This window comes from Homo sapiens, chromosome X (assembly GCF_000001405.40).
Source record: "Homo sapiens chromosome X, GRCh38.p14 Primary Assembly".
Lineage (NCBI taxonomy): Eukaryota > Metazoa > Chordata > Mammalia > Primates > Hominidae > Homo > Homo sapiens.
In genome coordinates this window covers 19,888,330-19,912,345 of record NC_000023.11, presented here as the reverse complement: position 1 = coordinate 19,912,345, position 24,016 = coordinate 19,888,330, and the positions used below count along the sequence as shown (strand labels likewise).

The following is a 24,016-nucleotide window of genomic DNA, read 5'->3' as shown; positions in this document are numbered from 1 at the left end:
TACTGCTTTTCTTTTTAAAAAGAAAAACAACTTTTTTTTCCTGATCAAAAGTTGTTAAAAGACAACAGGCCCAAAATGGTGTCACTCATGCTAAGGTTCCATATCACCAAACAGAAACCTAAGTTGTTTATTTGGAAGATGTGACCTTCCAACAAATCAGAAGAGACAGTAGCCAAATTCCATTAAGCCAGCAAGATTTCACTTATATCCCTGTGAGGAAAGTAACCTTGAAATGGCCAGTTCTCTATTTGTTCCTTGTTCCTGCTTTCCTCCACTTTTTTCTGCCTATAAAACTCACCCACTTTGTTTAGCTCATTGGAGCTCCTTTCTAATTTGTAGATTGGATGCTGCCTGGTTCATGAATCACTAATAAAAGCCAATCAGATCTTTGAAACTCAGTTTGTTGAATTTTTGTCCTTGACAAAGTAGATAGAATAGTATGTAAAAGGGAGAAAAATTTGTCTATAATCCCACTGCTCATAAATATTTAGTGCAGACTAACATTTTGGTATTTTCTCATTAGTCTTTTTTCTGGGCTTTATTGTTTTGGTAGTTGAGATTATACTTTATTACATTTTTAAGGCCACCTTGTCCGGCCTTAAAAATGTTTTATGAAATCCTGAATTATATTAAAATTTAGGGGTTTTGGCTGGGCACAGTGGCTCATGCCTATAATCCCAGCACTTTGGGAGGCAGAGGTGGGCGGATCACCTGAGGTCAGGAGTTTGAGACCAGGCTGGCCAACATGGTGAAACCCCGTCTCTACTAAAAATACAAAAATTAGCTGGGTGTGGTGGTGCGTGCCTGTAATCCCAGCCACTCAGGAGGCTGAGGCAGGAGAATTGCTTCAACCAGGGAGGTGGAGGTTGCAGTGAGCCCAGATCGCACCACTGCACTCCAGCCTAGACAACAGAGTGAGACTCTGTCTCAAATAAATAAATAAAATTTAAGGGTTTTGTTTGTTTTGATGTACACATCATTTAAGATGTTAAAAAGTAGATAGAACTTTACAAATAATTTTCTAATGTAAATTCTCATCCCAAATTCTAATCCCTTCTAATGATACTCATTATAATATTTAGTAAAGAAGAAATAGACTTTAATGTTGAGTTCTCCCTGATGACAGTTTCTGCAAGTGATTGCAGGGAACACAATGCCACTAACTTAATAGTCTCTTAACAACTATGGTGAAAAAAAGTTCCCAAAATAATGTTCAAAAAGCTAAACATAGGATTACCATGTGGCCCAGCGATTCCTCTCATGGGTGTGTTCCCCCAAAGAATCGAAGACAGGGACTCAGACACTTGTATGGCAACTTTAATTGCAGCATTATTCACAATAGCCAAAAGGTGTCAACAACTCAGGTGACCATCTGGATAAACAAGACTCAGATTGGTGGCCTTCCCAACCTAGCCTCGCTGAGTTAGCTGCCCCTCCTCTGGGTTCCCAGAATACCCAAACACACCCCTGCTTAAGATTAAGCACGTCAAATAAGGACCTGTCTATCTCTCCCCCTCTATCTAGATCAGTGCCTGACTCAGAACTAAGAAAGAAAGATACTTGCTGAATGGCTAAAGGGCCAGCTTCTTTTTTTTTTTTTTTTTTTTTTTTTTTTGGTCAACGTTGACCAGGTTGGCCTCGAATGTGTAGCCTCACCTCCGTGTGCGCCAAGACAACCGGCCTGAGCCACTGTGGCTACCAAAAGCCACCTTCTTAAGCAAAATCTTATAGTGGCTTCCTGGTACCCACAGAAAAAAAAAAAAAAAAAGTTCAAATTCTAGCACCTGGCTTATGAACTGCTTGAAGAGAAAGGTGGGGAGGTGGGCTGCCCTTCAGGTTTTCTACTACCCAACCTTGTCTCCCAGCAGCTCTCCCAGGAGACCTTTGTTTCATGGTTTCCTGAAGATGCAGGGATGAACCATCAGGCTCTGTGCATCTGCTCTGGGCCAGGTGCTATGTGAGAAGACGTGTCATTGGCCACCCTCGGTGGGCTTCCTTCTGACCCCAAGCCTTGGCGTATTCATTCACCTCCCCAGCCTCTTCCCTCCCTGCCATTGATCCACATTCTACCTATTTTTCCGTATGGGCATTTCTACCAATACTTTAGTTCACCTTTTTCCACTTCAAATTCTTAGCATTTCGAGAACAGAGGTCTTGTAATTTTCCTTTTCACTAAGAGGCTTGGAGGTGAATTATAGTCACCCTATTATGCTATGGAACACTAGGTCTTACTCCATGTATCAACCTATTTTTGTACCCATTAATCATCTCCTCCTTACCCGCCCCTCCCCACCACCCTTCCCAGCCTCGTAACCATGCTACTCTAGCTCCATGAATTCAGGTTTTGTGTGTGTGTGTTTTTTTTTTAGCTCTCACATATGAGTGAGACCATGTGATATTTGTCTTTCTGTGCCTGGCTTATTTGACTTCACATAAGTCCTCCAGTTTCTATCCATGTTGTTGCAAATGACAGGATTTCATTATTTTTATGGCTGAATAATAGTCCATTGTGTATATGCACCATGTTTCCTTTATCCATTCAAAAGGAAAGAGTGGAACTGGAATGTTTCTTTTTTTTTTCTTTTCTTTTTTTTTTTGAGACGGAGTCTCCCCTTGTCGCCCAGGCTAGAGTGCAGTGGCAATCTTGGCTCACTGCAACCTCCGCCTTCCAGGTTCCAGTGATTCTCCTGCCTCAGCTGTTGGAGTAGCTGGGATTACAGGCATGCACCACCATGCCCAGCTAATTTTTGTATTTTTAGTAGAGATGGAGTTTCACCATATTAGCCAGGCTGGTCTCAAACTCCTGACCTCAAGTGATCCACCCGCCTTGGCCTCCCAAAGTGCTGGGATTACAGGCGTGAGCCACGGCACCCAGCTGGAACTGGAATGTTTCTAACACAAATAATAAATGCTTAAGGTGATGCATATCCCAATTACCCTGATGTGATCATTACACATTGTATGCTTATATCAAAATATCACATGTTGCCTACAAATATATACAACTATTATGTATCCATGATAATTAAATATATATATATTTTGGCCAGGCATGGTGGCTCATGCCTGTAATCCCAGCACTTAGGAAAGCTGAGGCAGGAAGATCACTTAAGGCAAAAAAAAAAAAAAAAAAATAGAGTCATCAATAGATACTAAATATATGAGGCAATTTTGATGAGCAGGACATTTCAATGTGTAAAAGTGTCTTCTCACAGATCGCTTATTTATTGCAAGGCAGGAAGGAAAAACAGCAATTATACAGTGGAAAGAACAGACAACTCCTTGACTAGGGGATGGAAATTAACATCACCAAGGAGGAGCAGATGGACATCAGTGTGATACTGTTACAGTGGGTAGCTAGTCTGGTATGAGCAGGGCAGGAGAGGGCTCCCCCGACCCACATACCAGGAGTGTCAGGCAACCATCAGGTGATAGTCAGGCGGTGGTTAACTGTCTCTCTAAAATAATGGTGATCAGCAGCTTCCCGATAAGATCTCAGGAGTTGGGAGGAGTAACGCAAGACCCCAGAAGTATGCCAACCTATAAAACCCCAAGTCAAAAGGTCAAACCGTGCACTTGCTTTTCAGGTCGACTGCTTGGCTTTCTTCCAAGTATACTTCATTTCATTCCTGCTCTAAACTTTTTAAATAAACTTTCATTCCTGCTCTAAAACTTGCCTCCATCTCTCCTTCTGCCTTATGCCTCTCAGTCCAATTTTTTCTTCTGAGGAGGCAGTAATTGAGGTTGCTGCAGACCCGTACAGGTTCATTGCCGGAAGATATTTTGGTGCCGTGTGACACGGATATGGATTCTCCACTGCTAACAATAGATAACACAGCATCACTAATATGGTATGTTGGCTGGGAATGCAGCACTTGAATATAATCATAAAGAATCATCAGACAAACCCAAAATGAAGACCATTCTGGTTTTTAAAGAGGGCCTCCATTCTTTCTTTCTTTTCTTTTCTTTTCTTTTCTTTTTTTTTTTTTTTTTTGAGACAGAGTCTCCGTCTGTTGCCCAGGCTGGAGTGCAGTGGCACAATCATGGCTGACTGCAATCTCAACCTCCTGGGCTCAAACGATCTTCCCACATCAGCCTCCCGAGTAGTTGGGACCACAGGTGCATGCCACTGCACCTGGCTTTTTTTTTTTTTAAGAGATGGTGGGGGGCGGTGGGGGGGTCTCCTTATGTTGTCCAGGCTGGTCTTGAACTCCTGACCTCAAGCAATCCTCCTACCTTGGCCTCCCAAAGTGCTGAGATTACAGGTGCGAGCCATCATGCCCAGGCATGTTGATGATTTTGGTCCAAACCAATCTTCATGGCTATGGTGGCAAAATGATGATTTTCTAACTCCAGTGCTCCCTCTACACTTACCAGCTGGCATTGGCATTCTGCTGTAAGCAAGACTCCTCCCTTCTTCCCTGCTTATTTGTCTATTTATTATTGATATGGATTCATTTCTACTTTTTCAGTGGCTTATAATTCATTATTGTCCTTGATTATTTGGGAGCTCAAATGATCCTAGCTTTGGCCAGTGGGAGCCCCTTTAAGCTGATTGCTGTGTCCTCTTGATATGGACCTATCATTCCTTTTTTGACTTTATCTTTTTTATTTCAGTAGGTTTTTGGGAAACAGGTGGTGTTTGGTTACGTGAATAAGTTCTTTAGTGGTGATTTCTGAGATTTTGGCGCACCCATCACCAAGCAGTGTACACTGTAACCAATCTACAGTATCCCTTGCCACCCCCCACCCTTTGCCTCAAGTCCCCAAAGTCCATTGTATCATTCTTATGCCTTTGCATCCTCATAGCTTAGCTCCCACGCATGAGTAAGAACATACAATATTGGTTTTCCATTCCTGAGTTACTTCACTTAGAGTAATAGTCTCCAGCCAGGTGCAGTGGCTCATGCCTGTAATCCCAGCACTTTGGGAGGCTGAGGTGGGTGGATCACCTGAGGCCAGGAGTTCGAGACCATCCTGGACAACATGGAGAAACACCGTCTCTACTAAAAATACAAAAAAAAAAAAAAAAAATTAGCTGGGCGTGGTGGCTCATGCCTGTAATCCCAGCTACTTGGGAAGCTGAGGCAGGAGGATCACTGGAACCCAGAAGGTGGAGGTTGCAGTGAGGTGAGATCACACCACTGCACTCCAGCCTGGGTGACAGAGTGAGACTCTGTCTCAAAAAAAAAAAGTCTCCAATTCCATCCAGGTTGCTACGAATGCCATTATTTCATTCCTTTTTCGTTATTTCATTCCTTTTTATGACTCAGTAGTATTCCATTGTGTGTGTGTGTGTGTGTGTGTGTGTGTGTGTGTGTGTACCACATTTTCTTCATCCACTCGTTGACTGATGGGCATTTGAGCTGGTTCCATATTTTTGCAATTGCAAATTGTGATATGCACCTATCATTTCTTTTTAGCACTTCTTTGCTCTGATGCATAACAAAATGTTTTGGTCTTTATCTTGGACATTCCCTGCCCCAGGCTTGAAATCATTCATTTTTCTAAGGAGTCCTGGTTCCTTTTAGTGGGGGATGGTATTAGAGTCCAAGACTTGGGCCCTAGTGCCCATTGCTACTGGAGTGTCTTTGCTTATAAGCATTTTCAGCAGCCATATCTAGGAAACACACACACACACATACATGCATATATATACATATTTTAGAAATGATGAGGTCACACTGGCACCTACCATCCATCTCCATAGGATTCTTCCTTGCCTTCTCCTGTTTGATATTTGTATGTCCCTTCCTCCACAGTGAGAACCCTGGCTCCCAACATCAAACGATTTAATCATTTGCTCAATCCCATAATACATCTAAAGTAGTTTCGGAATTGCTTCACTTATACCACAGCAGGAAACAAACCTACTAAAAATAGTTCAGGATTTGTTTGCGGTTCTTCAGTGCCATGCCCCAAAGACAGAAGGTATATGGACAAATACTGTGTACATAAATTACTTGCATTAGTCTCCTCCACTCCTACCCCTGTGATATGGTCATGTTCTTCATTAGAAATACAGTTGTTTTTTCCAACTTGTTTTCAGTGGTAGCTCTCCCCACCATCCATGTTTATTTGATTTGATTTTTTTCAATATGTAGAACATTAACATACTTCCTCAAATCAAACTATACCAAAAGGTATGCTCAGGGAAGTGTCACTTCCTCCTGTATTCCTTCAATACTATTCCTTCCCACTCCTTGTAGGTGACCAACTTCGGGTTTCTCATTCCTGTGTATTTTTTGGTATAGACAAGCAGATATATGTATGTTTTCTTATTCCGCCCCCCCTCCCCGTTTTTTTCCATATACAGAAAGCAGCATCTTCTATATTCTCTTTTGCACTTTGCTTTTTTCACTTAAGAAATCTTGGAAATTGTTCCATACCAGTTTGTGCGATTGTCTTTTTTTTTTGACACGGAGTCTTGCTCTGTCGCCCAGGCTGGAGTGCAGTGGCACAATCTTGGCTCACTGCAACCTCCACCTCCTGGGTTCAAGCGATTCTCCTGCCTGGGCCTCCCAAGTAGCTAGGATTACAGGCGCCTGCCACCACACCCAGCTAATTTTGTATTTTTAGTAGAGAGAGGGTTTCACCATGTTAGCCAGGCTGGTCTCAAACTCTTGACCTCAGGTGATCTGCCTGCCTTGGCCTTCCAAAGTGCTGGGATTATGGGCGTGAGCCACCATGCCTGGCCTCATTCTTCCTTATAGCTGCATAGTACTCCACTGTGTAGCTGTTATCATAACTTATTCAACCACACTCTTATATTTGGACATTTAGGTAGTTTGACATTTTGCAATTACAAATCATGCTGTAATCAATAACCTTGTGCATATTTATTTTCATATTGTTGGAAGTGAATCTTCAGAGTAAATTCCAAAAAAAAAAAAAAAAAAGTGAGATTGCTGGGCCGAAGGGTAAAATGTATATGGAATGTTGTTAGATATTGCCAGCCCTTCTCCATGGGAGTTGGACCAGGGTGCATTTCCCCCAGCAGTGGATGAGAGTGCCACTTACCCCACAGTCTGGCCAGCAGTGTATTGACAAGCTTTTGAATTTTGCCAATCTGACCCATGAAAAATGATATCTCAGCATTTCAACCTGAGCTATTTTAATTTCAAACGCTAGAAAAAAGTCCTGGTTACAGTGTGATTGTCAGGTATTGAAACAGATTTTATAGACTCTCAACTTGGTATTCTCTAGAAAACTCTCTGGAAACAGTTTTCACCCTAGGAAAATTTTAGCATACATCCCACCCAACTGGATGGGGATGACTTCTGAACCGCTCTAACTGGTTTTTCTGCAATTTGGTCTCTTCCTGTTCATGTTTTAGCAGGTGGGGACTCTTCTAAAGCTTTCTTGCCCCACCTATTGGGCAAGAAGGGGAATTGAGCTGCCTTTCTAAAATACTGCCTAGAAACCAGATGACATGCAGCGCCCGCCAAGATGTTCTGGCCTCATAGACCTTAGTTCAAAACAAGAATCTAAAGAGAACACGATATGTAGATTTATAGCAATGGCTCCAACATACTTCTAGAACATGTATACCTAAACCACATTCTGGAGAGCGTTAGTTAATAAAGATAGTTGACATATTTTTTCTTAGCCGTTCTAACTCCTACATGTGTAAATTTTGGTGACAGCTGCTTGCTGCAGTTAGCCCCTAAGGTCTCAGATGCTCATTTTAAAAAGTTACTTCTTTACACGAAATGGAAGTAATTATTTTCTGGTTATGAGTAATGCATGCTTGATACGGGAAAGAAATCCTAGAAAATATGGGAAAGTATAAAGAAGAACATTAAAATGACCTGTATGCCTACTACTCAGTGGTAAGCATGGTTAACAGTTTGGTCTTAGTCCTTGTGTTCAGGCACAGTGGCTCACGCCTGTAATCCCAGCACTTTGGGAGGCTGAGGAGGGGGAGGATCATTTGAGTCCAGGAGTTTGAGACCAGCCTGGGCAACATAGTGAGACCCTGTCTCTACAAAACATTAGAAAAAAAAATTAGCTGGGCATGGTGGTGCGCACCTGTGGTCCCAGCTATTCAGAAGGCTGAGGTGGGAGGATCACTTGAACCCAGGAGGTCAAGGCTGCAGTGAACCGTGATCATACCACTCCAGCTTGGGCGACACAGTGAGACCCTGTCTCTGGAGAAAAAAATCCTTGTGTACTTTTGGCACATATATACCCACTTTGCATGCACACACATACACTTTTCTACTCTGTTTCTGTCTCTATATATGTATATATACACATATAGGTGTACATACCTACATATACAAAAATGCTCATTTTTCATCCGGGTGTGGTGGCACACCTGTAGTCCCACCTACTCTGGAGCCTGAGATGGGAGGATTGCTTGAGCCTGGTAAGGAGGTTGAGGTTGCAGTGAACCATGATCATGCCACTGCACTCCAGCCTGGGCGACAGAGCAAGACCCTGTCTCAGAAACAAAAAACAAAAAACTCATTTTCCTACACATTATACATGCACACTTTGTAAACAAAAATTGAATAGTTGTTGGCCAGGTGCAGTGGCCCATGCCTCTAATCCCAGCACTTTGGGAGGCTGAGGCAGGTGGATCACTTGAGCCCAGGAGTTTGAGACCAGCCTGGGTGACATGGCAAAACCCTGTCTCTACCAAAAATACAAAAAAATTAGTTGGATGTGGTGATGTGCGCCTGTAGTCCCAGCTACTTGGGAGGCTGAGGTGGGAGAATCGCTTGAGCCTGGGAGGTGGAGCTTGCAGTGAGCCAAGATTGCGCCACTGCACTCCAGCCTGGTGACAGAGCCAGACCCTGTCAAAAAAAAAAAAAAATTGAATGGTTGTTAACATACCATTTTGTAATTTGCTGTTGTCACTTTTTCCATTCATTAAAAAGCCCTATGGCCATGCACAGTAACTCGCACCTGTAATCCCATCACTTTGGGAGGCCGAGTGGGGAGGATCACTTGAGGCCAGGATTTGGAGACCAGCCTGGCCAATATGGCAAAACCGCATCTCTAATAAAAATTTAAAAATTATCCGGGTGTAGTGGCTCACGCCTGTAATTCCAGCTACTCGGGAGGCTGAAGCATGAGAATTGCTTGAACCTGGGAGGCTGAGGCTGCAGTGAGCCGAGATCACACCACTGCACTCCAGCCTGGATGACAGAGCCAGACCCTGTCTCAAGAAAAGCTCTATAGCAAAACGTTTGTTACATAGTAATCTTTTATTTTATTTTGTTATTTTATTTACTTATTTATTTATTTTGAGACAGAGTCTCGCTCTGTCACCCAGGCTGGAGTGCAGTGGTGCGATTTCAGCTTACTGCAACCTCCGCCTCCCAGGTTCAACCGATTCTCCTGCCTCAGCCTCCCAAGTAGCTGGGATTACAGGTGTGTGCCACCATGCCCGGCTAATTTTTGTATTTTTAGTAGAGACGGGGTTTTGCCATGTTGGCCAGGCTGGTCTCAAACTCCTGACCTCAAGTGATCTGCCCACCTTGGCCTCCCAAAGTGCTGGGATTACAGGCGTGAGCCACCATGCCTGGCCTGCTGTCTTGATTTATGAATTTTAGGCACTATCTATTGAGTTTCTCCAGTAATAGATAAGGATTTTGCTTTCTTACTCCCCTGCCTTCCAACCCCAAAGTCTGCCAATTTATTATTATCATATTTTTTGGTTAATATTAATTGCTTGACATTATACAGCCACATAAATATTGGTTTCTCTCTCTCTTTTTTTTTTGCTGTGTTTTTTTTTCTTTCTTTCTTTCTTTTTATTTATTTTGCTGAACCAGGTGGATTATACAGATTGTTTCCTTTTTTACAACTTAGTTTTTCCCAATGTCAATAACTGCCTTGCATTTTCTTACTTGCTTGGTTTTGGACACTCATTCAAATCCTCTGTGTTAGTTCCCTATGGCTGCTATAACTAGGCCAGAAGTTCAAAGTGGGTCTGACTGGGCTAAAATCAAAGTGTTGACAGGGCTGCATTCCTTCTGGAAGCTCTAGAGGAGAATTCAATCTCTTGCTTTTTCCAGCTTCGAGAGGCTTCTGCATTCCTTGGCTGGTGGCCACCTTCCATCTTCAAAGCCGGCCATGGCCAGTCAAGTCTTCCTCATGCTGCGTCATGACTCCCACACTCTCTTCTTCCCTGTTCTATATTGAAAGGTCCTTGTGATTACATTGAGTCTACCTGCGCAACCCAGGATAAATTTCCCATCCCAAGAGCAGCTAATTGGCAACCTTAATTTCAATTGCAACCTTAGTTTTTTTCATGTAACAACATATTCACAGGCTCCACAGATTAGGGTGTGAACATGTTTGGGAGGCCCATTATTCCACCCAACATCTAGATCCTCCATTAAATCTGCCCGAGGCTTATCAATAGCATGTTCCAAACACTCAGTTAAACCAGACTTCCCTCCTAGAGACTCCATTCAGTTCAAGCTGAACTGACCTGCCAGACAGTGCCATCCAGGGATTTCTCTCTCACTGCATTTGTGTATGGGATCCCTCGTTTCGTAAGTCTCATGTTTCTGCTGTCTTAACATACTCCTTTTTTTTTTTTTTTTTTGGCTGGAGCACATACTTCTGACGTTCTGTAAAACGAGGACATGGGAGGTATGTATTTGGAGTCCTTACATGTCTGAAAATGTCATTATTCCATGTTTATATTTGATTGATGGTTTGGCTGAGTATAGACTTCTAGGTTGAAGAGCCCACTTTGGTGGTTTCCTACTAAGCCTGTTACCCTCCCGGGCTGCCGTTTGAACCCCAACAGTACCTTGAGATGCCGAGCACTTTGATGCTTCCTCTCCTGTTCTCCTTGTCCTGGTTGGAGGATTTCCCTTTAATTAATTAATTTATTATTATTATTATTTTTGGAGACGGAGTCTTGCTCTGTCGCCAGGCTGGAGTGCAGTGGTGCAATCTTGGCTCACTGCAACCTCCGCCTCCCAGGTTCCAGCGATTCTGCTGCCTCAGCCTCCCCAGTAGCTGGAATTACAGGCGCCCACCACCACGCCTGGCTAACTTCTGTAGTTTTATTTTAGTAGACATGGGGTTTCACCATGTTGTCCGGACTGGTCTCAAACTCCTGACCTCAAGTGATCTGCCTGCCTCGGCCTCCCAAAAGTGCTAGGATTATAAGCGTGAGCCACCGTGCCTGGCCTCCCTTTTATTTACTATCACTTTACCAGGATTTGAGAGGAAGAGATGATAAACACAAGTGATCAATGTGCTAGGATTGAGCAGAAGTGTGTATTTTTTAAGACTTTGCTATGAATTGTCAAATTAGATGCTCACTTCAAAGTCCTGCGATAATTTTTAAGTGTTTATTTGTTCAATTATATTCATTACTTATTCTAAGGTATTCAAAAAAGGAAAGTCATAAATTAGTAAAGGTACAATAACCTTTGAAAGCAACCTTTCCCATTATTAAAATTATGCTCTTTAAAGAAAACCTGGAACAGTGCCGGTCACTATCCTGGGCACTTTACAAGCATTAGCACATTATTGCCTCAAGACAACCCTATGAAGTAGGCACTATTCTCCCCATTTTACAGATGGGGAACCTGAGTCACAGGTTAAGAAACCTCCTGGCCAGATGCAGTGGCTCACACCTGTAATCCCAACACTTTGGGAGGTCCAGGTAGGAGGATCGCTTGAGCCTAGGAGTTCGAGACCAGCCTGGGCAACATAGTAAGATCTCCGTCTCTACAAAGAAATATGAAAATTAGCCAGGCATGGTGGCGGGTGCCTGTAGTCCCAGCTACTTGGGAGGCTGAAGTGGGAGGATTGCTTAAGCCCAGGAGGTGGAGGCTGCAGTGAGCCATGATTGCACCACTGCACTCCAGCCTGGGTGACAGAGTGAGGCCCTATCTCAATAACAACAACAGCAATAAAAAAAAGAAACCTACCAAGGTTGCACAGCAGCTAGTACCAGGTGAAGCCTAAACTCATCATGCCCAGGCTGGTGGCATAGACACCTCTATGCTCTGCTGGCTCAGAAAATAGAAGGAAAACGGATCAACAACAGCCGCATGGCTTTAGGATGACCTTTTAACCTTTTGGAGTATTTGCTTGCAAAGCTTTTAATGTATTTTTTAAGTTAAAAGGCAACTGGGAGCTGGGCGCGGTGGCTCACACCTGTCATCCCAGCATTGTGGGAGGCTGAGGTGGGCCGATTATGAGGTCAGGAGATCGAGACCATTCTGGGTAACACAGTGAAACCCCGTCTCTACTAAAAGTAAAAATAAAAAAATTAGCCAGGCCTGGTGGCGGGCACCTGTAGTCCCAGCTACTGGGGAGGCTGAGGCAGGAGAATGGCGTGAACCTGAGAGGAGGAGGTTGTAGTGAGCCGAGATCACGCCATTGCACTCCAACCTGGGCGACAGAGTGAGACTCCGTCTCAAAAAAAAAAAAAAAAGGCAACTGGGGGGCGGGCGGCTCATGCCTGTAATCCCAGCACTTTGGGCGGCTAAGGCAGGTGGATCATTTGAGGTCAGGAGTTCAAGACCAACCTGGCCAACATGGTGAAACCCTGTCTCTACTAAAAACACAAAAATTAGCCGGGCGGTAGTGGCATGCGCCTATAATCCCAGCTACTTGGCAGGCTGAGGCGGGAGAATTGCTTGAAATCGGGAGGCAGAGGTTGCAGTGAGCCAAGATCATACCACTGTACTCCAGTCTGGGTGACAGAGTGAGACCTTGTCTCAAACAAACAAACAAAAAAAAGCAACTGGGGATGTGTGTGTAGCCGTTTTATCACTTAGTGTTATACCATGAGCATTTTATGTGTATACAGATTTCATACCAAGCAAAACACTCACGAAGATCCATTGACATTTTATATTAAGACCATTGAATAGAGTTCTAAACCATGAAAACAAATGAGCTGTTTTGTCCAATTTCAGACGATGTCATCATTTCTAATGGAATCAGACACAGCTGACTTTACATTCCCAAGCCTGCTCTCTCCTGCTAAAGAACATTGATTGGGCATGACATTTAGCCTCTCGGAACCTGAGTTCCTTCCCTTGTACAATGTTAATACTAACATATAACTGACACTGTTGTGAGAATTTAAAAGCAGATAAGAGTATCGCAGCCCCCTCCTCCATAAATGGTAGCGATTGTTATCTTAAGATTATCCTTTTTGCCCAGAGAGACTTTCAAAAGACCCATAACACTATTTTGTGGCAGGTCAAACCTTTTCATTCCTTTATTCAGGCACTGAGAAAAGGTCTAGTCCATATCTGATAGTTTTTGTGTGTGTTGTTTATAGTTATGAAAGACTGAGGCGTATATAAAACTTTTCAGAAAATTTAATTATGAACACATGTCAAAGTCAAAGTTTTGTTTCAAGATTCCCCCCCTTTTTTTTTTTTTCTTTTCTTGAGACAGAGTCTCTATCGCCCAGGCTGGAGTGCAGTAGCACGATCTCAGCTCACTGCAACCTCCGCCTCCCGGGTTCAAGCAATTCTCCTGCCTCAGCCTCCCAAGTAGCTGGGATTACAGGTGCCCACCACCATGCCTGGCTAGTTTTTTTGTATTTTTAGTAGATACAGGGATTCGCCGTGTTGGCCAGGTTGGTCTTGAACCCCTGACCTCAGGGGATCTACCCGCCTTGGCCTCCCAAAGTGCTGAGGTTACAGGCATGAGCTACCGCACCCAGCCCCAAGATTCCCTCTTATTCCCCCTTGGTTGGGACATTTTCTGGGAAGTGAATGGTTAGATGATCATTGTCAGACTGGACACAAGGTGAAAGAATGTCTGGCTAAACATCACTAGACTTCTGACCTTAGGTCAGCTGAGACGGGGGCAGGGGGTGGAGGGAGCAGTCTCCCCGACAAGGGCTTAATCTCATTAAAGAGTATCAGAGAATTGCTTTAGCATTTTTTCAGGAATTCTAATTTCTTCCCAGAAGAAGATTATGAAATGCATTCAAATTTAGGAAAAAAGAAAAAGGTGATTTGAGAGTCCTCCAGGGAAAATAGTACCCCCTCTTCAGTGTTCTCAATTTCCATCATTAGAGCACTAAAGAGGAATTACTAGCTCCAAAAAATTACAGTGATAATAGGTGGAAATCATCATATATCTTAGTATCATTACACACTTTAAAAAATGTCTGGAAGAATATTCCTTCAAGAGTTAACAGTGATTATCAATTATCTCTGCAGTAATTGGTAATTGTGAGATGATGGAAGATTTTCACCTTATACACTGTATCCTTAATATTTTATTTTAGTTTAGTTTATTTTTGGGACAGGGTCTTGTTCTGTCACTCAAGCTGGAGGACAGTGATGTGATCATGGTTCACTGCAGCCTCGACCTCCTAGGCGCAAGCAGTCCTCCCACCTCAGCCTCCCGAGTAGCTGGGACTGCAGGTGCGTGCCACCATGCTTGGCTGATTTTTTATTATTTTATTTTTGTAGAGATGGGATCTCACTATGTTGTCCTGGCTGGTCTTAAACTCCTAGGCTTAAGCAATCCTCCTGCCTCAGTCTCCCAAAGTGCTTGGATTGCAGGCATGAGCCACTGTGCCTGGCCTGTTTTATTTTTTAAAATACTGAGCAGAGATTACTTTTCTAATGATAATGATATGAATATATATCGCAAAACATCAAGTCAGTTTTACCAGTTCAGGGCTATGCCTCACTGGTAGCTCCCTTGAGCCCGTTTTCATTGCCAAGGACCAAGCAGTTCATCAGATGACAGAGCGTTCACCTTGGCTCTGAGGAGTTGAGGTACAGCGGGGATTCTCACACTTGAGCTGCTGATCAAAACACAGGTTACTGGGTCCCAGCCCCAGAGTTCCTGACCCGGAAGGCCTGGGGCGGGGTCCCCAGCGTGCATCTCTAACAGGTTCCCACATGCTGCTGCTGCTGGGCTGGGGACCACACTTTGAGAGCTTCTGTGGTCCAGAAAAGAAAACTTCAGCTGGGGAATAGAATCCTTAACCCAGGGCTGGCAAGCAAAACAAAGAAGATGAACTTGACTTACTTCCCACTTTTGCCTCTGGCTGGTCTGTAATTATTTTTGAGAAGAGGAACTTGATTTGACTGACTCTATTTAATAAGAAGTCGTGCTAGAAAAGGGTTGTGCCATCTCTTATTAAGTGACCGCCTGGTTCAGAGACTTTTCAATTAAGTCCCATAGCCTCGGGCTTGAGGATGCATCTGAGGTTGGCTGTCTGCTTTGGGGCCTTCACAATCTAGGGGATGGCTGTGGCGTTTCACCGTCAGCTCAGGCCACTGGTCTTGGTTTCTCTGAACCCCGAGGTGATGGGGTGGTGGTTATTGTAATTCTGATTTCCTGTTTGGGAAGCAGTGTGGGGGTATTATTGGAGGAGTTAAAACACAGGGAATATCGTCCCCACCCAGCCCCATATAACCCACCAATCACATATGTATTCATTCTCTTTTGGTACTAAAATATACATAACAAAATTTGCCATTTTAACCATTTATTAATGTACAGTTCAGTGGCATTAAATACATTCACATTGTTGTGCGACCATCACAACCATCCATCTCCAGAACATTTGCATCTTCCCATACTGAAATGCTGTAACCATGATCACTCTTTTAAAATCTTTAACAGCTTTTATTGAGATATAATTTGCATATCACATAATTAACTTTTTTTTTTTTTTTTTTTGAGACGGAGTCTCGCTCTTTTGCCTGGCTGGAGTGCAGTGGTGCAATCTCGGCTTGCTGCAACCTCTGCCTCCTGGGTTCAAGTGATTCTTCTGCCTCAGCCTCCCGAGTAGCTGGGACTACAGGCGCACACCACCATGCCCAGCTAATTTTTGTATTTTTGGTAGAGACAGGGTTTCACCATGTTGGCCAGACTGGTCTCAAACTCCTGACCTCAGGCAATCCACCCGTCTCGGCCTCCCAAAGTGCTAGGATTATAGGTGTGAGCCACTGTGCCTGGCAATTCACCCATTTTAAAATGTATAATTCAACAGTTTTTAGTATATTCACAGAGTTGTGGAACCATCAACACAATCAATTTTAGAACGTTTTGTCACCGCAAAATGAAACCCTGTACCCATTAGCTGTCACTCCTCAATTCCCCCAGCCCCTGACAACCACTAGCCTACTTTCTGTCTCTATGGATTTGCCTGTTCCAGAAATCTCATATACATGGAACCATATAATAGGTGGCTTTCGACAACTGGCTTCTGTCACTTAGCATCATATTTTCAAGGGTCAACCATGTTGTGGCATAAATCAGTACTTCATTCCCTTTTGTATTCATTTTTTTTTTTTTTTTTGAGACAAAGTCTTGCTCGGTCACCCAGGCTGGAGTGCAGTGGTGCAATCTTGGCTCACTGCAGCCTCAAACTCCCAGGCTCAAGTGATCCTCCCACCTCAGCCTCCCATGTAGCTGGGACTACAGGCACACGCCAGCATGCCTGGCTAATTTTTGCATTTTTTTGTTTTTGTTTTTGTAGAGACAGGGTTTCGCTGTGTTGCCCAGGCTGGTCTTGAATTCCTGGACTCAAGCGATCCACCCACCTTGCCCTCCCAAAGTGTTGAGATTACAGGCATGAGCTACCGAGCCTGGCTGTATTCGCTCTTAATAACATTCAAATTTGAATTCATTATCTCCTCCACATCCCTACCCCAACAAAAACTTCCTTCTCCACTTAGTGGATTTCTCCACTTAGTTGAAACTCCATTATCTATCCAACTTCCAAGCCAACTAACAAAATATCTCTATTGAATCCTCCATCTTTGCTCCCTATCCTCTCGTCAAATCCACTGCCTCATCAGAGCCTGTCAAATGTATTTCAAAAATGGCTCTAGAATGTAACCTCTCCTCTTTGTTAGTATCATTGCCATCATATTTCTTGCCTTTACCACCTCTGGCCTGTTGCTGGCCTCCCACCTGCAAGCTCTTCCTCCAGTCCTTTCTCCACAGAGCTCACCAGTTACCTCCCTAAAAACAGCCTGCTTAGAAATCTGTGCTCCAGGCCAGGCACGGCGGCTCATACTGGTAATCCCAGCATTTGTGAGGCCGAGGTGTGTGGATCACTTGAGGCCAGGAGTTTGAGACCAACTTGGCCAACATGGTGAAACCCCATCTCTACTAAAAATACGAAAATTAGCCAGGTGTGGTGGTGCACACCTGTAATCCCAGCTACTCGGGAGGTTGAGGCAGGAGAATTGCTTCAACCCAGGAGGCAGAGGTTGCAGTGAACCGAGATTGTGCCACTTCACTCCAGCCTGGACAACAGAGTGAGACTCTGTCTCAAAAAAAAAAAAAAAAAGAAAAGAAAAGAAAAGAAAAAAGAAACCTGTGCTCCTACCCATTGCCTGCAGGGTCTTGTTTGATCTGGCCCTGACATAGAAACCATTTAGAATCAGACATTTCACTACACTCCTGCCCCTTCCACAGGAGACCCCTTGAAAATGCCATCTGTTCTGCAGACTCTGCACATCCTCACTTGTTCTTCCCTCTGTCAGGAACACGGGCCAATGTCTGTGCAGCCTGGAGGCTGAGCTCCAAAGGAACCCAGCCTGTGAAGGAGCCCCTGAGCTTAGCTTCTCCCGAAGGTTCTGGGACAAAAAGAGAAACTATGTTTGCAAGTCAATTCCTACTTTTAAATTTTCATTACCGATGAGATCAAAAGCCTCCCATAGTAATTTATCAGTTTCCATTTTTAAAAATTGGCCTGTTGATACAGTTTATTCCTATGTTAAATGCCATTGTTCTATTTAATGTTAACATTTATTTATTTAGACGGAGTCTTGCTCTGTTGCCCAGGTTGGAGTGCAGTGGCACAATCTCGGCTCACTGCAACCTGTACCTCCCGGGTTCAAACGAGTCTTCTGCCTCAGCCTCCCCAGCAGCTGGAATTAACGTGCGTGCACCACCACATCCGGCTAATTTTCATATTTTTAGTAAAGACGGGGTTTCACCATGTTGGCCAGGCTGGTCTTGAACTCCTGGCCTCAAGTGATCTGCCTGGGTAGGCCTCCCAAAGTGCTGAGATTCCAGGCGTGAGCCACCATGCCTGGCTTAATGTTAACATTTATTACAATATATATATCACACATATGATCTTAATGTCTGGTGCTTTGGGAACTTTTTTGATTATCATTTGATTTGCCTTTTAATTGTGAAAATGTAGTTCCTTACACATGACCCCTTGTGATTTTGGTGGGGGAGGAAACCAGCAGGATGGGTAGAAAACAGTAGAAACCATGTTTTTTGTTAATCTCCTGGGACCATTCTCCCAATTTACTATTTTCTTAGACAAAGCAGTGCTGTGGAAAAGGATGGAAAAATGTTCTTGGCAAGTTCATCTGTGCACCAGGGCTCTTTTTGCGCACTTTGGATACAAGCTTGTGTGACCAGTCAGCTTGGGAGTTGATTACTCAGGCATTCTTTGGATTTTTAAACGAGGACATCCTATTTTTGTAGCATTGTGGACATGCACGTCTCACCTTCTAGTTGCTTCCTTTGTGTTTTCCTTTGTTTACAAAGCGAGGCGTTCCCACAAACCTTGTAAAGAAGGTCATGGTTTAGCTGTTTCATAAGTGATCTACTTCTCTGATTTGATTCGTTTGTTCATCTTTATAGAGCAGGTGAACCCAGTCCTGTTAGATTTGCTGAAAAAGATTTACTGAAAAGGAAAAAGAGGGAAGGGAGTGGGTCATTCTAAGAGAGGCTATCAAGCCAGGTAAACATAATAGAGCAAGACATTTGTCATTAATATTTCTGTGGCTTTTGATCTAGACATCAGTTACCTTTAACCTGGTGTGCATGAAGCAAAGGAGGAATGGAAAAGCCTGCCTCAAAACCATCAGGCTCACACCTGTAATCCCAGCACTTTGGGAGGCTGAGGCAAGTGGATCACTTCAGCTAGGGGTTCGAGACCAGCCTGGTCAACATGGCAAAACCCCATCTCTATTAAAAATACAAAAATCAGCTGGGTGTGGTGGTGCACACCTGAGGTACATGAATCTCTTGAGCTTGAGCTCAGGAGGCAGAGGTTACAGTGAGCGGAGATCACATCATTTCACTCCAGCTTGGGCGACAGAGTCAGACCCTGTCTAAAAAAAGAAAAAAAAAAAGCCATCAGCACAGAGCCATGACTGCTTGCTTAAAGTGAACAGACACTCCTCAAAAGAAGCACTATTCACAATAGCAGAGACTTGGAACCAACCCAAATGCCCATCAATGATAGAATAAAGAAAATGTGGCACATATACACCATGGAATACTATGCAGCCATAAAAAGGATGAGTTCATGTCTTTGCAGGGACATGGATGAAGCTGGAAACCATCATTCTCAGCAAACTAACATAGGAACAGAAAACCAAACATTGCATGTTCTCACTCACAAGTGGGAGCTGAACAATGAGAACACATGGACACAGGGAGGGGAACATCACACACCAGGGCCTCTTGGGTAGTGGGGCGCTAGGGGAGGGATAGCCTTAGGAGAAATACCTAATATAGATGACGGGTTGATGGGTGCAGCAAACCACCATGGCACGTGTATACCTATGTAACAAACCTGCACATTTTGCACATGTATCCCACAACTTAAAGTATAATAAAAGAGAAAGAAAGAAAAAAAAAAGTGCTGTTTGCCAGAGTTCTCCAAGTAAAGTTACTATTTCCCCCATTTTAAATATGAAGACATATTTATTTCAGGGAAAATACTTTGAGGCTATGCAAATATTCTGTTTCTCCTTAAAGTTTCACCCACTCATTTGTGAACGGTAGTTGGATCATGCCTATATTAGCAGTTACTGTGATGTTCTAATGATGCTTTTCCCTTTCTCTCATTTCTCCTACACTTTAATTGGAATTCCTCTGTAAGGAAGACTTGTCCCTTCTCCTTGATATTTTCCCCTAGTCAGTTATTTAGTTGTATTTCTATAGACTCAAAGATATTAATTTTCTTCCAATACAATCATTAATTATTTTGTTGCTTGAATTGCTCCAGCTTTGGCCTTTGGGAGCCCTTTGGGGTTGGCTCCTGTGCCCTTCTGCTGTGCCCTGTCACCTTTGTTGAGTACATCTTTACTTTCTGGCACTGTGAGATTTTTACATTTCTCCATAAAGTTCATCAGAAGCACTATACAATGAGTGTCTTTTGTACAGCACTCAGCACGTAATTTATATTAATGTAAAGACAATATTAAAGGTTATCAAAGTATTGTTCATTAAAGGCAAATTACAGATGTTAAGTCCGAGTACTCAGAGATAGCAAGTATGAAAGACAGAAGCTCACCCACCTTCAATTTTTTCTTTTTTTTTGAGACAGGGTCTTGCTCTGTCACCCAGGCTGGAATGCAGTGGTGCAGTCACGGCTCACTGCAGCCTCAACCTCCCAGGCTCAAGTGATCCTCCCATTTCAACCTTCTGAGTAGCTGGGACTACAGGTGTGCGCCACCTCATCCGACTAATTTTTGTATTTTTTGTAGAGACAGGATCTCACTATGTTGTCCAGGCTGGTCTGAAACTCCTGGGTTCAAGTGATCTACCCACGTCGGCCTCCCAAAGTGCTGAGATTACAGGCATGAGCCACCATGGCCGGCCACACCTTCAGTTTCTATCCAAAAATATGTTACTACTACTGAGCAACATAGCGGTGCCTTTTAAGTCATACGATATCATTTTAAGTGTAACAGCTCCGATACTTTCTATTTCCAAACTGCATAATCTCCTCTGGTGGAAATGGGAGTTCAGTGGGACAAAGATGTATTAAATAAAATCCTATTTCTCTAGAAATATTCATGAGATGAATTTACATCATTTGAAATATTGCAATAACCATTTTGTTAAAAGATACTCTTGTAAGAGGGAGGCAGGATGAGAAATTATGCATCTATTCATGTCAGCAGCTGGATCTGAATCTTGATATTAACTTCCCTTGTGCTGGTCAGCAAAAGTTTCTCCAAGGAAAAATGAAAGGACAATAGGAACAATTCAGAAGAACTAAACAATAAGTGAAAAAATGGAAGGTTCATTTTCATAAGTCAGAGAAACTTAAAATGAAAAATAAACTATAGTGTTTTGGATAGAATCACCACAACTTTGTTTAGTTAAGGCATTAAAATTAGGGCACATGTCCCGGTGCGATGGCTCACGTCTGTAATCCCAGCACTTTGGGAGGCCAAGGCGGGTGGATCACCTGAGGTCAGGAGTTCAAGACCAGCCTGGCCAACAAGGTGAAACCCCATCTCTACTAAAAATACAAAATTAGCTGGGCGTGGTAGCGCATGCCTGTAATCCCAGATACGCGGGAGTCTGAGGCAGGAGAATCGCTTAAACCCGGGAGGTGGAGGTTGCAGTGAGCCAAGATCCCACCATTGCACTCCAGCCTGGGCAACAAGAGTGAAAGTCCATCTCAAAAACAAAAAAATAAAAAATAAAATTAGGACATAGCTCAGGGATTTTCAAAAATATTGTCTTGCCATCAGTCTTTCTTTTGTGGTAACGCAAATTTGACCACGCAGGAAGCAGATCAAGGAGGAGCGACACCGCATTCCTGTCCAAGAAGGAAAAGATATGCCTTGAAATAGACCAGAGAATAAACAAGACTCAAAACTTCAAGCAAGTCGGGCGCAGTGGCTCAGCCTGTAATCCCAACACTTTGGGACACCGAGGCGGGGGAGGATCATTTGAGCCCAGGAGTTTAAGACCAGCGTGGGCAACATAGTGAGACCTCATCTCTACAAAAACTACAAAAATTAGCCGGGTGAGATGGCACGTGCCTGTAGTCCCAGCTATTTGGGAGGCTGAGGTGGGAGGATCACTTGAGCCCAGGAGGTTGAGGCTGCAGTGAGCCATGATCACGCCACTACCCTCCAGCCTGAGTGACCGTGAGACCCTGTCTCAGAAAAAAAAAAAAAAAAGACAACAAAACGAAACAAACCCCCCAAATTTCAAGTGATCTGTGTTCACCTGTGTGAAGTTGGAAATAAAATTCCATGAGAAGACTGTCTTCTCCACATAGGACAGAGAGACCAAGCAGGACATAAGACAAACTGCTGATTTTTTCTTTTTCTTTGAGCCGACAGGGTTCCCGCACCCCATCTGCTGGTTTAGGTGTAGTGGCCTCTGTGATGCCTGGGTAAGTTTAGCTATGGGAAGGTATCATCAACAATGTTCAAAGACTTTTGACTCATCATTGTGAGAATGCACTGGGCAACCAGCCAAGAATCTTCAGCACTCCAGATAACAGTCCACTGCAAGGCCAGCACAACTGTTGCCATGTTGAAATGTACCCCATCACTTTCAGGGGTCTGAGGCTCTTTGAGAGAGGGTTAGGATGACCCACTGATACGGCCTTACCAAAGAGAACCACCTCTGGAATTGAGCAGACCCCCATACCAGTTCTTCTGGGGTTGGGGGAAAAAAAATGTCCCAGTAGCAGAGGGTTTATCCAGGCTCTGTGAGTTTCAGTGTTTGTCAACTCTAAGATGGTATCAGAAGGCTTGATTGCCCTGATTAGAACATGATATAACAAGACATGTAATGAGTGAGGCACCAGGGTGCCTGGAGGAGGAATATTTGAGTATTCATCATCCCTGCCTTCAACATTTCACATTCTTTTTTTTTTTTTTTTTTTTTGAGACGGAGTTTTTCGCTCTGTCGTCCAGGCTGGAGTATAGTGGCGCCATCTAGGCTCACTGCAACCTCCACCTCCCAGGTTCAAACAATTCTTGTGCCTCAGCCTCCCACGGAGTTAGGACTAAGGCATGCACCACCACGCCTGGCTAATTTTTGTATTTTTAGTAGAGAGAGGGGCTCGCCATGTTGGTCAGCCTGGTCTTGAACTCCTGACCTCAGGTGATCCGCCCACCTCGGCCTCTCAAGGTGCTGGGTTTACAGGCGTGAGCCACCGTGCCTGGCCCACTTCACATTCTTTTCTTTTCTTTTTTTCTGAGACGGAGTCTCGCTCTGTCGCCCAGTCTGGAGTGCAGTGGCACGATCTTGGCTCACTGCAAGCTCCACCTCCCGGGTTCACACCATTCTCTTGCCTCAGCCTCCGGAGTAGCTGGGACTACAGGCGCCCGTCACAACACCCAGCTAATTTTTTGTATTTTTTAGTAGAGACCGGGTTTCACCATGTTAGCCAGGATGGTCTCGATCTCCTGACCTCGTGATCCGCCCGCCTCGGCCTCCCAAAGTGCTGGGATTACAGGCGTGAGCCACCGCGCCCGGCCTTCACATTCTTAATCTCCGTGTTCTCTGATCCCTTTTTTAGGAGTCTGATATTGATGACACTAGGACTTCAATTGCAGCCTCTGTGTGGATGGGCCTCTTGTCCCTTGATTAGTCTCCTATTTCGATCGGTTTGACACACATGAACGGTATTTAGAAAGATGATGCTACTGATCTCTTGTTTGTAAGACCCTGACTTTGAGGTTTTTTGAAAAACTCATGAAACAGTTATAAGAACAATTTTCTACAGAAATCCCAGGACGGTAACCAATTTACAAGAGTTGCCCCGCCAACACAGGTGAGGTATGGAGACAGCCCCTCTCTTGGGTAGGGGGTCGGCTTTCATTTGTCCCTTTTGAGTCCACTAGCCCTCAGCCTCCTCCATTTCCAGGGGCCACTGATGTAATTTCTCTATTGTCTTACGTGCTCTTTGCCTAAATGTCTCCCATGTAGTTCACTATCGCTTCCTACCACCAGATGGTGGAAAGGGAAAAGGAAATAACGGGCCGGTAGAGGAATGTGGTGGCAGGCAGAGTATCTATGGCGAAAGGTGTGGTGGTGAATGGACCCAAAACGGAGCTTCTGAATTGCCCACGAATGCCCACGGATTCCCTGTTAACATTTTAGCGCCCACTCAAGGGTCGGCCGTCCAGGTCTGGGAGTCAGTAAGGCACAATAATGCCTGCTAGGGAGGGAGCCAGCCCTCATCTCAGCGGATTCCTGGGAACGTCAGAGCTCGGGAACATTCCTGAACACCCGAACCGCACCTGGCCCAGGCACTGGGGCGGGGCTTAGGCGGGTCCCAGCGAGGCGATGCGTCCCC

At 44.1% G+C, this 24,016-nt stretch overlaps 1 annotated feature.

Annotated features, from left to right (window-relative positions):
- Positions 22,080-22,129: an enhancer, noted in NCBI's record as "active region_29476". NCBI's record gives its function as "activates an Ori minimal core promoter by ATAC-STARR-seq in GM12878 lymphoblastoid cells {active_cell/tissue: GM12878}" and the evidence as "EXISTENCE:reporter gene assay evidence [ECO:0000049][PMID:35858748]".